The following is a 14,854-nucleotide window of genomic DNA, read 5'->3' as shown; positions in this document are numbered from 1 at the left end:
TTTGACACACTTTGGAAATTCAAGATTACTGAACTATGATGGTTGTTATCAGAAAAGTCCAAAAAGAATTACATCTAGGAAACTGAAAAAAGAAAAAAAAAAGCAAAAGCACCCAACATGTTAAACATCGCCATCTGTGTTGCCCTATCCTTCAGAAAATGGATTTTAGTTTGAAATTTACAGAAGGGGATTTTTAAAATAAAAGATTTACCACATATAGAATGATCATCTCTTAATTCTATGGAAGATGATAGGGATGGAGCGGAGAGAATGCTCCATCTCCATGTGCTGCTTCTGGCATGTTCTCACAAACTTCTGGTACTGCTTTTGTCCTTTCACAGGTTACATCAAGTCCTTTTAAGTGACAGCAACATATTCTTCATTCAGACAGGTGTGTAACCGCCCTAAGGGTTCTTCTTGCCCGCTGCACAAACAAAATCAATTCATAGAGACCATGGCATTGCAATAAATAATTTAATTGATCAGAGGCCAGCCATGCCACACAGGAGATGAAGCTGTTACTCAAATCAAGCTCTCTGATAATCTGGGGGCTAGGGTTTTTCAAAGATAGTTTGAGGGAAGGGCTAGGAGTGGCTAGGGAATGATTGCTTGCTACTGTTGGTTGGGGATGCAGTCATATAGGTGTGGGAAATGGTCCTCCTGTGGGCTGAATTGCTTGGGACCAGGTGGAGCCATTGGTGTCAGGCATGCAAAAACCCTGAAAAGATATCTCAAAAGACCCATATTAGGTTCTACAACAGTGATGTTATCTGTAGGAGTAATTGGAGAATTTGCATCCATTGTGACATCTAGAACAATGGCTGGCAATTGTTTATGTCTATGCCTTAGCAGAATTCAGGCTCCTCTATCCTCCTACCCTGGTGATCTTTCCTTAGCTTTACAAAGGCGGTTGAGTTTTGGGGAAAGGCTACTATTACTTAAACTATAAACTGAATGTCTTCCAAAGTTAGCTTGGCTTAAACCCAGAAATAATTAAGATCAGGTTGAATGCCAAAGGCAAGATAGGGTTTGGCTAGATTAGATCCCCCCCAACTGCCATAATTTTCTTCCTGATACAGTTTTTGCAAAGGTGGTTTCAGTATCTCAAGGAAAGGTTGTCCCTAAGAGCCATTTGTGTTTGTAACACAAACCAACAAAGAAGTTAATAGAAAATGCTCTCTAGGCTGCGAAAAGGAATTTCTTCCAAGTTTCATATCTTCTTCACCCCTAACTCCAACTATCTTAAACTCATTTTTTAAAGTACAATTTTTAAAGCTTCTGTAGTGAGACTGGTGATTCTTGACCAGATTGAAACTTATAAAGTAAAGCTTTCTGGCAGAAAGGGGATAAAAACTATCAATTCAAATTACTCTTCTACAAATGAAAGCCTAGTCTAAAAAAATGAACTTAATATCAAATTTAGCAGGTAAAGTACCTTTGAATTGAGTTCAGAATTTCAACTGTCTGTAAAAATGTATGAACTATGCTGGCATATAGAATAAATATCTTAAAAAGCCTGCTAAGATTTCCTTGAGGCATTTAAAATAATTGTTTTCCTGACTTAAGGATTTTTTGAATGTCTTCAAGAGATTTCTACTTATTCCATATGCTGTTGACTTTCACCATTATCTTAATTTTGTGTGTGTGATTCTGCACCTGAAACAAACACAGTGTGTGTGTGTTGGGGTACCAAGAGAAGGGGAAGCAAAGTCTTGTCTTAACAAATGTTTTTTAAAGTGTCAAAGGAATTTATTAGCTACTTAAAAATCAGAAAATGCTTTGTTTTGCTAGCATTGAATGTCATCCAGAGAGAAACGGCTGATCTGCTTCTGAGTGGATGAATGTGCATAAATGGCAACGCAAACAGTCATCTACTTCCATGAGTCACATAGAATAGTTCATGGCAGGCACACTGTACAGCTTTCAAAGTTCCAAGAAACAGCGCAGGTCCATCTGTTCAAAAGATTCATTTCCAGTCAAGATCTTCATTTGCACAGCATAGGAAGCTGAAAGCCATTGACAGATGTTGTATATGTGGTAGGAGCTCACTAGTTCTGCATTCTGATATAATGATTAGGCCTTTTAGAAAATGAAGTCTTCAAAGTGGTTATACCACTGAAGAATTTAGGCCATCAAAACGACATTTTATCCCATTTAGAAGTAGTGTTTCTTAAGAAAGGTCATAGTAGTTGGAGGCAAGAAGTGAGTCAGAAGCTCACTGACTCCAACCAATGTGCTTGGTAGATAAAAACTCAAGTTTCAGGTATTTTTTTAAGTGACTTATCCAGAGTTCTAGAACCAGCAGGTAGAAACACTGGTATAAAACCCTGGTCTCCTGATTTGCAGAATGAGGCTGTCCCATTCAGGCATATCTGGTATTCTGTTTCTTTCCAGAAGTCTAGAAAGATTATATGCCAAGTCTGGAGACTCACACTGATTTACACCTAAATATAATCAGTTAGCTACAGAAATGCTGTTGTTTGAAATTACTCTTTCCACTCACCCAAGGCTGTTAAATTTTTCAAGAATTTATAAAATAGATAACTGAGTATAGTTCAAGGTCCTTTAGTGGAAATGTTGATCCTAGCTGAAGTATTAAACATATCTCAAAGTGTTAAAATAAATGTTCAGGCCAATCTAGCAAAAGCAGTTCTTTGGAGGTAAAACTAAGCTGTGGTATGAAAATACAATGGTTTTCAGGTCTCTAGGAGTCACCTCCATCATCATGAAAGTAAAATATAGGCTTAATTTTCACATAGATGAGTATATTTATAAAAGTGATTCATATGTCATTGTCTTATAGTGCCTTACCTTACCTGAAAGTTGTCTGGTCAGCTTGCTCATGCGTGAATATCCCAGACCAATAGGTGTCTTTCATTTCGTAATACCTCATTGCATGAGGTGCTTTAAGATATGACAAGTGCATTCACATATAGTTACGACCAATGTAATGGCAGCTTTTCTCAAGCTTAAATGAGAAAACCTGCTACTGCAGAGTAATGATGTTTTAATTGCGCATTTAGCACACAAAAAGTGAAGCAAGAGCTTATTTCATGTATGTGTAAGAGCTACATTAAAAAAATACATTTGCAGTGAAGTAGCAATTATATTCAAAGAAAGGAAGAGTTCATTCAAATCAGCACTTAGAATGATGAAGGTATTCTATTCCCCCTTTTACCTTTATCGAATAAGTTAAATTTATTGTAATGTTAGTTTGAAATTGTGCCTATTTGTGATGTTATTAAGCAGCCATCTTAAAAGGATTGACCATGCACTGCATTTAATCCTTCTGCCTCCTCTTAGAAGTATTACCACATTTTCTTGTCTTCCAGTTGTTTAACTAAAGAGTGCTCATCAGTCCAAAAATAAATGTTCATCTAATAACATGGATATTTTAGTGAAAATTTAACTTTTTAAAATGAAATTGACTGCAATGTTCATAATGCATTTTCACTTCTATTGTTCATAATGCATTTTCACTTCTATTATATAAATATTGTTTAATAGTTCCTCATAACATGATTTTAATGAACATATTGGAGAAAAGAATTTTTTTTAAATTAAGCTAATATCATATAAGATTTACATTGATGCTGTGGAGATTTGGCAGTGATTTCACAAATATGTTGTAGACTAGCAAATGGAACAACTGAAATTTAAAAAAATCTGGGATATAGGGTAGAACTCAAAGAAAAATAATAGAGGAACCATCAATAAAGAATAGGGAAATTTGCAAATCTGCATTTTTTTGGCATAATAATATCCCATTTATTTTTTAAGTGTAGATAAACTGAAGTGCCAACTTCCTAAATATGTATCCTTTCTGCAAAGTCTGATGGTAGCTGGTTTATTAGAAAGACAAAGAGTTAGAAAAAAATGGAATTCTGTATCAGAGAAGACTAGTAACATATGTGCAGAAACAATCAGAGGCAAAACCTGGGAATTTAATACATTGGATGGCCAAAAATTTACACATATCTGAATAATAATAGTTAATACTTCTTTAGCACTCATTAGGTTCCTCATACTGTTTTAAGCATGTAACCTATTAACTCATTTACTTCTCAGCTCAGACAATCTATGATGCAGATGCTAATAGTATTTCTGTTTTACCCAGTAAATCATCAGCAGAACTGAGCATTGAAAACAGGCAGCCTACCTTCATGGAACATCAAAGTCGTGCTTCATTTTTTTCTTAATTTTTATTTTTACAATTTTTTTTTTTAGACAGTCTCATTGTGTCATCCAGGCTGGAGTGCATTGGCAAGATCATAGCTCACTATAGACATGACCTCTTGGGCTCAAGCAATCCTCCCTGTAGCCTCCTGAGTAGCTGGGACTAGAGGTGTGCACCATCACGACTGGCTAATTTTTAATTTTTTTTTTTTTTGTAGAGTCTTGAGGGGTCTTGCCATGTTGCCCGGGCTGGTCTCAAACTCCTGGCCTCAGGCAATCCTCCTGCTTCAGCCCCTTAAAGCACTGGGATTGGCTGGGCGCGGTGGCTCATGCCTGTAAACCTAGCACTTTGGGAAGCCGAGGTGGGCGGATAACGAGGTCGAGAGATTGAGACCATCCTGGCTAACATGGTGAAACTCCATTTCTACTAAAAAAAATACAAAAAAATTAGCTGGGCGTGGTGGTGGGTGCCTGTGGTCCCAGCTACTCGGGAGGCTGAGGCAGGAGAATGGCATGAACCCAGGAGGCAGAGCTTGCAGTGAGCCGAGATAGCACTACTGCACTCCAGCCTGGGTGACAGAACGAGACTCCATCTCAAAAAAAATAAAATAAAATAAAAATAAATAGATTAATTAAAGCATTGGGATTACAGGCCTGAACCACCACACCTGGCCAGTGCTTCATTTTTAATATGTGACTTTTATTATTAACATAACAAGATTATGAAAAGAAATAATTGCAAGATGAATCACTATAAGCAACAGAAAATTAAGTCAATATTTTTAGAGAAATAAGAAGTAATACCGCCCTCCAATAGGTATCCTATGTATCACCTTTTGTATCTTGTTTGAGAATTTCTACTTCTACCACCTACTAATATTTAAAAGCCATTTAATGGGACAAGCACTTTGTCTGGATTATCTGATTTAATCACAATAGCGTATTACACACAGGGAGGCCAAGGGTCAGCTAGTTTAAATAATTTATTCAACCCCATAGTGTTAGAAAGTGATAAGGCAAGGATCTGAACCTGGGCAGTCTGCCGAACAAAGCCTGAGCTATTTGTCGTTATGCCTCTCACCATAATATGTTACCTCCTGCGGATAACCTAGTCAGCAGGACTTGAACAGGGGGAACAAGGAATTTTAGGCTTCAATATAATGATTGTAAGAATTTTAAGATTTAAGAATTTTATAAAAGGACAGAATAGATTATTGAATTTCCTTCCAACTTTGTAATTTAACTTGAAGATTGGCAGAGGAAATTTCACAATACTCAAACAATAAAATGGAAACTGTATAAATAATTGAGTTCACCTAATTTCAAATTTAACTAATACCATATATGTCATTAACCAGGTTTTATTTTCTCAATTTAAATTGTTGAACAGACTTAAAGACATGATTTTAGCATGAGTTGTTTAGAAATCTAATCAGGGCCCTATAATTGTTTTGTTGGCCTGTGATAAGTGGGTGCCTTGATCTTAAATAATTACTACTTTTTGCTTAATGTTACCAGATTAGCATCTTCATCCTGGTTGATTGCTACCAGGGTAGCGTCCTGCTTGTGACAGAAAAGCTATTATTATTTCTGCATTTTATATGTGTTCAGCAGCCCAGTAGTTTCACTTACCAAACTGGCTGGTGTGCAGCACACACAAATAAGATTTGCGTAAAAAAGAACAGCTATGTAAAATATTGCCTTTGGAAAGGCAAATTTACTGAGATAGTGATTATAGCGCATGAAGCTCAAGGCATAACCATAACAATCATAGGGCCATTTCTCTCCCTCATGCAGTATTTTATATCTATTGCCCTCAGAACAAGAAGATAGTGTGCATTCATGGTAGCAAATGCTATCTCCCATCCTGTAAAACTGATTTTATTGCAACCTCCTGCTTTTAGTTACTGAAAACTTGCCAAAAATCTTCCTTAGAAGGTATAACTTAGTACTTGGCCTCTTCCAAAAAATACAGTTTGAATGAAAGAGTATTATTTAAGTTGTAAAAATATGGCAATGCTTAATTTGATATATTAACGATTCCTTATACTTTTTAAAATGTTGGATTGTATAAATATTGCTTAAGCAAATCTTGCATATCAGGGTGTTCCAGTTTAGGGTCTACAAAAGGTAAAATGACATTTAAAATATGTTTCCCCCCCAGCATGCCAGAATTTAAACTTGGGTCACTCATATTTATTTAAAATAAGCATACAAATCATAAAAGGTTGATATTTTTGTTTAATTTTAGGTAATAATTTCATTTGCAAATAGTATTTGGACCTTGCATAGTAAACTTTTTCAACTGGTGATAATGTACCTATATTTAGAATCATTTTCCTATACATTTTTAAACCTTTGGTTTTCCCATCTTGTTTAGTGCAAACCCTGAGGTTGTCAGGGAGGGTGCTGGTAGATATTTATACATGTTCATCCTTATTTTGTGTTGAAAAGGATGAGTCATTAGTTAGGCTTTAATTCCTTCAATGCAGTTCTCTAAACTTTCATGAATGTCTGTTAGTATTGTTCAAAGAAAAACTTTAGCCGAATTAAATTGAGCAAAGAACAATTTGTGAATCATGCAGTCTCCCAAGCAAGAGTAGGCTCAGAGACTCCAGCACAGACACGTTGTGGAAGATTTATAGACGGAAAAAGGAAAGTGACATAGAGAAAACGGAAGTGAGGTATAGAAACAGCCAGATTGGTTACAGCTCAGCATCTGCCTCATTTGAACACAGTTTGAACAGTTGGCCACCTTTGATTGGCCAAAACTCGGTGATTGGTGTAAGAGTGGGCTACATTGTGTTTACACCTCCATTTAGGTTACAGTTTATGATGTACAGAGAAACCTTTAGGCTGAACTTAAAATATGTAAGGAGGAAGCTTTAGGCTAAATTTAATAGTGTGATTCTTTCATTCTACTTTTAGTGGCTCTCTTGTTAAAGATTTATACATTCAAAAGCAAAAAAATCCCTCCTAAAATCCAGACCTTTTATTTTTATAGTTGGTCAGGGTTGACAAAGCTAGGTGTTAAATAACATTATAATACTTGATCTTCATGGCAATACTGCCATTCTGGCCTAAATACAGAGCTCTTGATGCCGAATCACCATGTGTCCTCTTGGTCAAAATCAAATAATCAAAAAAAAAAAATCAAGTATTAGATTGTATACTTTCATCTAATATTAGAAATGATTTATACCATATTCTTCATCTCATATGCTAGGATATTTTTAAAATTAGTAATCCAGGAATATTGTGTAAAACTTAGGTGTGAGAATAGGTTGCTTTAATTATGCTGTAATCCATGTGTGTTTAGACAATTACTTCTTTTAGTCATGTTTAAGTTTTGTTTCTCTAGCAATTATGTTAGCTGATAGAAAGATATCATCATGAAAATGGATGTTTATGATGTTTTTGAGGATATGGGTTATATCCTTATTTATATGTGTTTGTATGTTTATGTGTGTGTATATATCTATGTTTTTTCTCTACAGAAATGGAGAAAAAAATTGTTTTAGTTTTATAAGCCTTTTGTATTATACTTTTAATTTAGATGTCTATTTTCAAAATTATATGAGAGCAAAGTTTTAATATGTAAATAGCTGAGAGGATCATTTCTCAACTTTATATAAACTAGTAGAGTCAAATATTTAGCTTGAAATGAAGATATAGGAATGCATCTATTATACTCACTAATAGATTACTTAGAACCTGAGCTTGAAGTGGATCAAGAGGACGTGTCACTTGCTATCATAGAGTCATGGCACCACATTTATGCAGTTCATTTCCGCCATGTTTCTCCATTTGGCTACACTGAGCAACAGCAGAGGCTAAACCATTTATTCTCTCTCAATTTCCTCTCTCTCTCTTTCTCTCTCAATTTCCTCTCTCCATCTTTTACACACACACATATAGCTTCCCCTCTCTTTTCTTGTCTTTTCAGCATTAGTTTTGAAAATATGGTCCACATTCATACTCAATTTGGGAGCCCTTCACAGAAATTGTATATGATGACTCCTGAATGGCAGGCAGATTGATAGTTGATAATTGATAATGAGATCAATGCTATGCCTAAGATATCTCCTGCTCCCAGAATCTCAAAGATTCAGTAGGCTCTTCATGTGTTTCCAACCCTCCATCCTTGGCACAACTTCTTCCATGGTTCTGTGCATGGGAGTAAAACACTTCAAATATGCAGGCAAAGAACTCCTTCCTTGGGAGTGCTAGCAGACCACTGAGACAGAAATGAGATGACTGTCTCCATGCATGAAAACACTTTTTTGCCTTTTGTACCATCTCCCTTTGGTAGTATAATTTGAGACTAGCCATAGCAAAGTCTAGAACTAGCTTATTATTTTGTTTAATATATTCATTTTTTACATAATTGATCAGAAAACAATGAAACCAAACAGACTTTTGTAATGTTTTTCAAAGGACAAGTAACAATGTCACTTAATAGAATAAAATCAAAATTTTGACAATAATTTTTTAAAATCACTTTTTGTTTTAGCCATTCCTAGAAAAGAACTGTTAGGTAACTCTCTAAATACCCTGCCTGATATTAGAATAGAATTAGAAATTTATTAACACAGCAGAAATCGAGATATTTCTGCTGTGTTGGTAATCTCTTCTCCTCTCCCCTCTTTCTCCCTCTATCCTCTCTCTCTCTCAAAATCTCTTTTCCTCTCCCCTCCTTCTCCCTCTCTCTTCTTCTCCCTCTCCCTGTGTGTTTTCCTCTGTATCTATGCATACGTAGATATGTATGTATATATGTATCAGGTATTCTATCTGTTTATTATTCTTTTTTCCTGTACACAAATGGTCTTTGGACTTTAGTAGGTGTGAAGTTAGTATGAATGTTTTTAGTGATACTTAAAATAGCATTAATAGTATATTCCAATCAATTTTATGAAAATTTTGGGGCACCTTTAACATTTGGTACAACATTTTTCTATTCCTTATTGTTTCTTTCCTCAGATATTTTTGTCCCCCATAAACAGATTTTTTTCAAATATAATTTTTCAAATATAATTTTTCAAATATAATTGACTCAAATAAACCCTCAATTTTTAAACTATTTCAAAAATGAACTTTATGGAACCAATCCCCAAGGGCTTTTTGAGAATATGATGTGACTGTGTTGCTGGGGACAAAGGTCTTTCTTCACTGAGGCCTAGTATGATGTGTTTGTGATATTTGGGTTATGGCTACCAAGCCTGTGCAAAAAAACAAGGATTCCAGAATCACTCTCTGGGTGTGAGAGGGATATTGTTGTCACCAGTTGGGATAATTCTAGTCACAGTTATATTCACTTGGATAATTGTGCAAATGGCTTTAAAAATATTGTGAGATGATAATGAGAAAAAAAGTATATTTTTATATGATGGAAATACCTGCATCTGTTAGTCCTTTAAAATTAAGTAATGCATTTGATATAGCAAACACCAGCATTTTGAGTTATCTATTAATTTTTAATTGTGTTTAGTTTTAAGATTATCGGTATGTTATGAAATGTTGACTATATTTTCTCCTTCCTTTGTAGGTAACCCATTAACCCAGGAGAAATCAAGTGATCCTCAAGGCTGATGACATTGAACATGCGCATAGAAACTTAACTCAACTCCTGAGGTGATCTTGAAGATTTTTATACCACTTGAAAGAGGCGCTCAATAGTCTATTTCCAAGGGATTTCATGGCCTCTTCTTGAAATCAAGACTTTTTAAAAGTCAGACATGAACTTGCATGTCATGAAGATTTCAGCAGATTTGAACTGTGTTCAACTTGTAAATTGTTAAAAGAATTTGAAGTCACTGTCTGAGGAGCTGGTGAAGAGTTGTTTTTTTCAGGGTGATGTTAGAGACAGTCACCTTTTGAGTTATTGGCTCCAGATGTGACTACTTTTCTTGTTTCTGCAAGCTGTATCCCAAGTGCACTGTCCTTCTGTCCTGGATGTGTTCCTGGGTCCTATGTTCATTTGCTAGTGGGACTACACATGGCTTTAATGACATTTCCTTTGAGAACTTTTCCTCTGGCATGGTGTAGACTGAGACAATTTTATTTATATCCTAATCTTGGAGCTCAGAAAGCCTACATGTTTTAACATCTTAAAGTTGCTTTTGTTAAAGGAATGGAAATATATATCCATTGGTAATAATGTTGGCAAGTAATAGTTATCTGAATAAATCAATCATATAAGAATGTATAGACAAGCTGACATATTTCCCTAAGGCTAACAACACCCTGCTGAAGCTCTTTGTCAAATAGGTAGTAGTTAGAACTGGATTGCCATTTTCATTATATAATACTTTGTACCTCTAGAGCACTCTCCCTTTCTGTTTTTTTTTAAGTGAGCTTTTCTTTAATTTTTTATGTTTACTTATTCCCTTCACAGAAATCAGCAGTGAGCAGTCAAGTTAATGGGTAGCCTTCAGTTTCAAAAAAATTGACAGGGATGCATGTGAGTTTCTGATTTCTTAGCTTGAACATTATTCACTTAGATTTCTTCCAGTATTTTTTAAAAAACTGTCCTATCTCATTTTAAAAGACTTTCTTTTGCTTGATCCCAATGACTGTTTGAATGCTTATATATTTGTTCAATCTGTTGATAGAAAAAATTGTTCATTTTCCTCAGTCTCAAATTTATAAATATTTGCTTACAGTTTTCCTATTCAAACAATTTGTTAGGCCAATATTTTGTGACATTTTTGTAGCGATTTTAACGTTTATGGTTTTGGTTCTACAGGAAAGTCATAAATATTTAAAGGCCTTAAACATGTATGTACTTTTTTTTTCTAAGTTATAGAATGTATAATTTTGTACTACATTTATTTTGTTTCATTTGTGATATGAAGGGAGAGAAGAAAGAAAAGTGCATAGCCATTCTGTAACAATATTGTGTAAACCTATAGTTTGAAGGAATGCAAGGAGAAGGATTTCTGTGTTTTACTCATTTTAGGCTGTTCAGAAGATGCTTCAAAAATTGTCCTGTTAGAATTTCCATCATGGAAGGTGGTATGGAAGAAGGTATGGAAATACTTTGTATTCTAAAAACTCACTGACGTGGTCAGTTAGACATACGTTGGTTTCCAGGATAGAGGCCCATATATCCTGGGGAGCTTTGGTCTATTAGTTTGTGACAATATTCAAAGGCCAAAACACTACTCAGACACTTTCCTGGGAAGAGCAACTAAAAATGTAAAATTGGTTAAAAATAAAATCTGAAAAGTATGTATCTCACATTGAACTAAAATCCACTGTCTCATAAGTTCATGGAATGAAATGGCTTTCTGCCTCCATTTTAATCATGCATAAAATGAATTAGATGGCTTTGAGTGGATTTTCACAATGGCTCAAGACTATATGAAATTATAAAAAAAAAGTTGCCCTGGGGTTTCTGCATCAATTAGAATATCATTAATTTCTTTGTAACCAAGTGAAAAACTATACTTTTTGGAAATTATGAATTTGTCCTAGGTTTGTTTGAGATTTGAAATTATACATCATGCTTCTCATTTTTTAAACTATGTTCTTTAAATCAACACTGGAAACTCTGTATTATATACAAGTGTAATACATGCATATAATAGAAAAAAAACATGGAATTTCAAATATACTAACTAGATTATCCCCAGTAGATTAATGTTGTGACTATTCAGAAAAGGTGAATAAAATTGGGATATAAAATGGACTCTCTTTCATAAATTACATATATAGATCTGTTTTCTGTGTTTTATTTTAAAAGCATTTCAGTTATTATCCAGGGAAACCTCTGAATTCCTGGGGAAGATGACATAAATTCTTCAATCTTTTTTTTTAAAATAAAGATCCATGGCAAATCTTGCCATTTACACAAGGTTCCAATATATGAATGCTTCTTTGCTAGGATACAATTGAAATAGATATACTTAACACTTACGCTACTTGCCCATCTTGACTATGAGTACCACTGGCATAATTTGCTAGCAATATGTAAAATTCATTTTATGAAAATTGTTAAAGATAATGATCTCTTTATCTTTCAAAATATGTATGAAAATATTAAAATCACAAATATGACTATAATTTAACTTTTAAAGTTTTTTTAAAACTTTTTATTTTTAAAGATTAAGACTCACAGGAAGCTACAAAAAATAGCACAGAGGGTTTCTTTGAAAACTTTACCCATGTTACCCAGTGATAACATTTTACAAAACCATATAACATTGTCAAAACCAGGAAATCGACATTGGTATAATGCTATTAACTCAATAGAGACCTAATTCAGATCTCACTAGTTTTCACATGAACTCTGTGTGTGTGTGTGTGTGTGTGTGTGTGTAATCCTTTTACAATTGGTGTCCATCCATTGTAATATGCTGGAACATGGATGAGATTACAGTGTGAGACTATGGGCCAATGAGTGACTGATTTGTGATAATTCTTTTAAAGTCCTCTATTTTTGGAATAATATCCTATAGTTTTATTTTACTTTATTTTTTATACACTCTTGTTGCCTTAACACAATAGAAACTTCCAGTTTTAACATCAGAGTGTACTATATGTGATTTCAAATATGCTGTTGTTTTTAACGGGTAGGAAGAGATCTGAGAATCTGCATCTGATTAAAATAAAAAGAAATTTTGATTTTATTCTTTATTTCCCATAACAATACTTGCACCATTTACAACCAATGCTATACAATTCGACTGTGACTTTCGATAATAATCACTAATAGCATAGTAATTAATTGAGTGATTAAATGAGACTTGATCTTTTCCAAGTTTTGATCATTTTCTCAATTCATAGATAATGTATCCATATGAAAGGGCGATGCAAAGAAACAAAGAAATCAAATTGTATTTGTTCCTTATCCAGCCCTTTCTCACTTTGACCCACTAATTTAATGGGGAGAATTAGGATGACACTGGACACTCTGCTTGGAGAAAGTGAAAAGTTTGGAGAGACATATACTGAGTATCTTCTGTCCCTGCTACCCACATAGAGAACTCATGGTAGAATGTTATTATTTCTATCAAAGTAAGGGTCTTTCTTTTTTCCTTCCTACCTTAATTCCCCTCCCTCCACCCCTCCCTCCCTCCCCCCTCCCCTCCCATCCCCTCCCTTTGCTCCCTCCCCTACCCCACTCTCCCCCCTTCCTCCCTCCCTCCCTTCTTCCCTCCCTTCCTTCCTTCCTTCCTTCCTTCCTTCCTTCCTTCCTTCCTTCCTTCCTTCCTGTCCTTGTTTTGTATATATAATGCTTTGGGAAGAAAACATTGAAATAAATATATTTAGATTTCTTGGAGATTTCTTTCTCATTGCTTTAACTTGCACTGTGTGAGATTGGGAAAAGTAGTATAGACATTACAATTATTTGGCAATTAACTGACAATAATTGAATTCCTACTAGACACAAGCATGTTTGACTAGATTGAATTTTGGGGTTAGCTGAAGCTTAGTCTTAAAAATGGTCTTTCAAATTATTTCAGAAGATATTTTCTCCATGCCCCTGTTTTTATGGCACTATGCTAACCAATGGGAAAGTGGGTACATAGATTTATGAACATTTCGTATTTATTTTGATTTTTTATATTTGTTTTTCTCCAATATATTGCAAGTTACTAAATGGTATGCACTTTACCTTAAGCATTTTCCTGGATGGGCTTGTTATGCAAAGCAATTGAATTTTATTCTAGAAGTTATGTGAACATGGCAGGGCAGTGCATGTTCCGTAAAGCTGTGTTTTACAGATTTTAGCAAAAATGTATTTGAAAGTCTTAAAGAAGAGAGGTTGTGGGCATGCAAAGAAATTAGAAAGTATTAAAGTAATCTAGGAGAGAGTTGTTGAGAGTCTGAGTTTGGACTATATGACTGACAAAAATGTGAAACTATGACTCTCAAGCCTGGTTGCAATTTCAATTACTTGAGAAGCCTTAGAAAACGTCCATCCCCAACTAACTTTCTGAGATTCTCTAAATCGGTCCGGGATTAGGGTCTGTGCATAGGCATTTCTAAAACAGTTCCCCAGGTGATTCTAGCATGCATCCAGAATTAAGAGCCTCTAATGAAGGTTTTTGCAAAGGTTGAAATGAGATGGGTGAAATGATGGGTGAAATGATTGGTGAATGAAAGGAAGACGAGGAAGAAAACTACAGGAGGTCCTGAGCCTACTAAAATGGAAAAACAGAAATTCAGCTAAACATGAGAGAAAAACTTGGAGGTAAAGCAGGGTGAGGGGCAGGTGGCAAAAACAATGAGTTCATTTTTTAAGTCTATTGAGTTTAAAGTGCCAATGAAACATTTAGACAGATCATGTTAGATAAGGACTGAACAGGTTTTATTGGATTTGTAATTAGAGATTATTGTTGGCCTTGGAAAGAGCAGTTTCAATGGAATGCTTGTAGAATTGAGATTTCAGTGGGTTGGGGAGTGAATAAAAAATTTGAAAGTGGAACTAGCATATATAGACTTCTTTTTCAATGGGAAGTGAAAAAGAAAAGTAAGGTAGTGGCTATGCCAATGAAGCAGAATGAAAAAGGAATGTAATTTTCTTAATACAAGAGAAATAACAGTATTTTGTATCTATGCTGCAATATGAGGCAGGGAAAGAGAGAGGTAAAAAGTGTAGGAGTAAAACACAGTAATCCATGAAGGAAGGAGTATCCATATTTAGACGGAAAGCAACACATAATGTATGCAG

The 14,854-nt window shown here is 34.9% G+C and overlaps 1 protein-coding gene across 6 annotated transcripts in view; it reads left to right on the top strand.

Annotated features, from left to right (window-relative positions):
- The window catches only part of TAFA2 (TAFA chemokine like family member 2), a 551,762-nt gene extending 539,896 nt beyond the window's left edge, over window positions 1–11,866 (top strand). For all 6 annotated transcript variants that reach the window (XM_024448962.2, XM_047428774.1, XM_047428773.1 and 3 more), the window contains one exon: window positions 9,722–11,866. In XM_024448962.2, the coding sequence (XP_024304730.1) occupies window positions 9,722–9,733 (12 nt within the window). In that variant the 3' untranslated portion in view covers window positions 9,734–11,866. The remainder of the gene's footprint in view (window positions 1–9,721) is intronic.
- Window positions 11,867–14,854: the final 2,988 nt, after the last annotated feature.

The sequence above is a fragment of the Homo sapiens genome, chromosome 12 (genome assembly GCF_000001405.40).
Source record: "Homo sapiens chromosome 12, GRCh38.p14 Primary Assembly".
In the NCBI taxonomy this organism is placed as follows: domain Eukaryota; kingdom Metazoa; phylum Chordata; class Mammalia; order Primates; family Hominidae; genus Homo; species Homo sapiens.
Note: the sequence above shows the minus strand (reverse complement) of the source record. Positions and strands in the feature narration are given on the sequence as shown.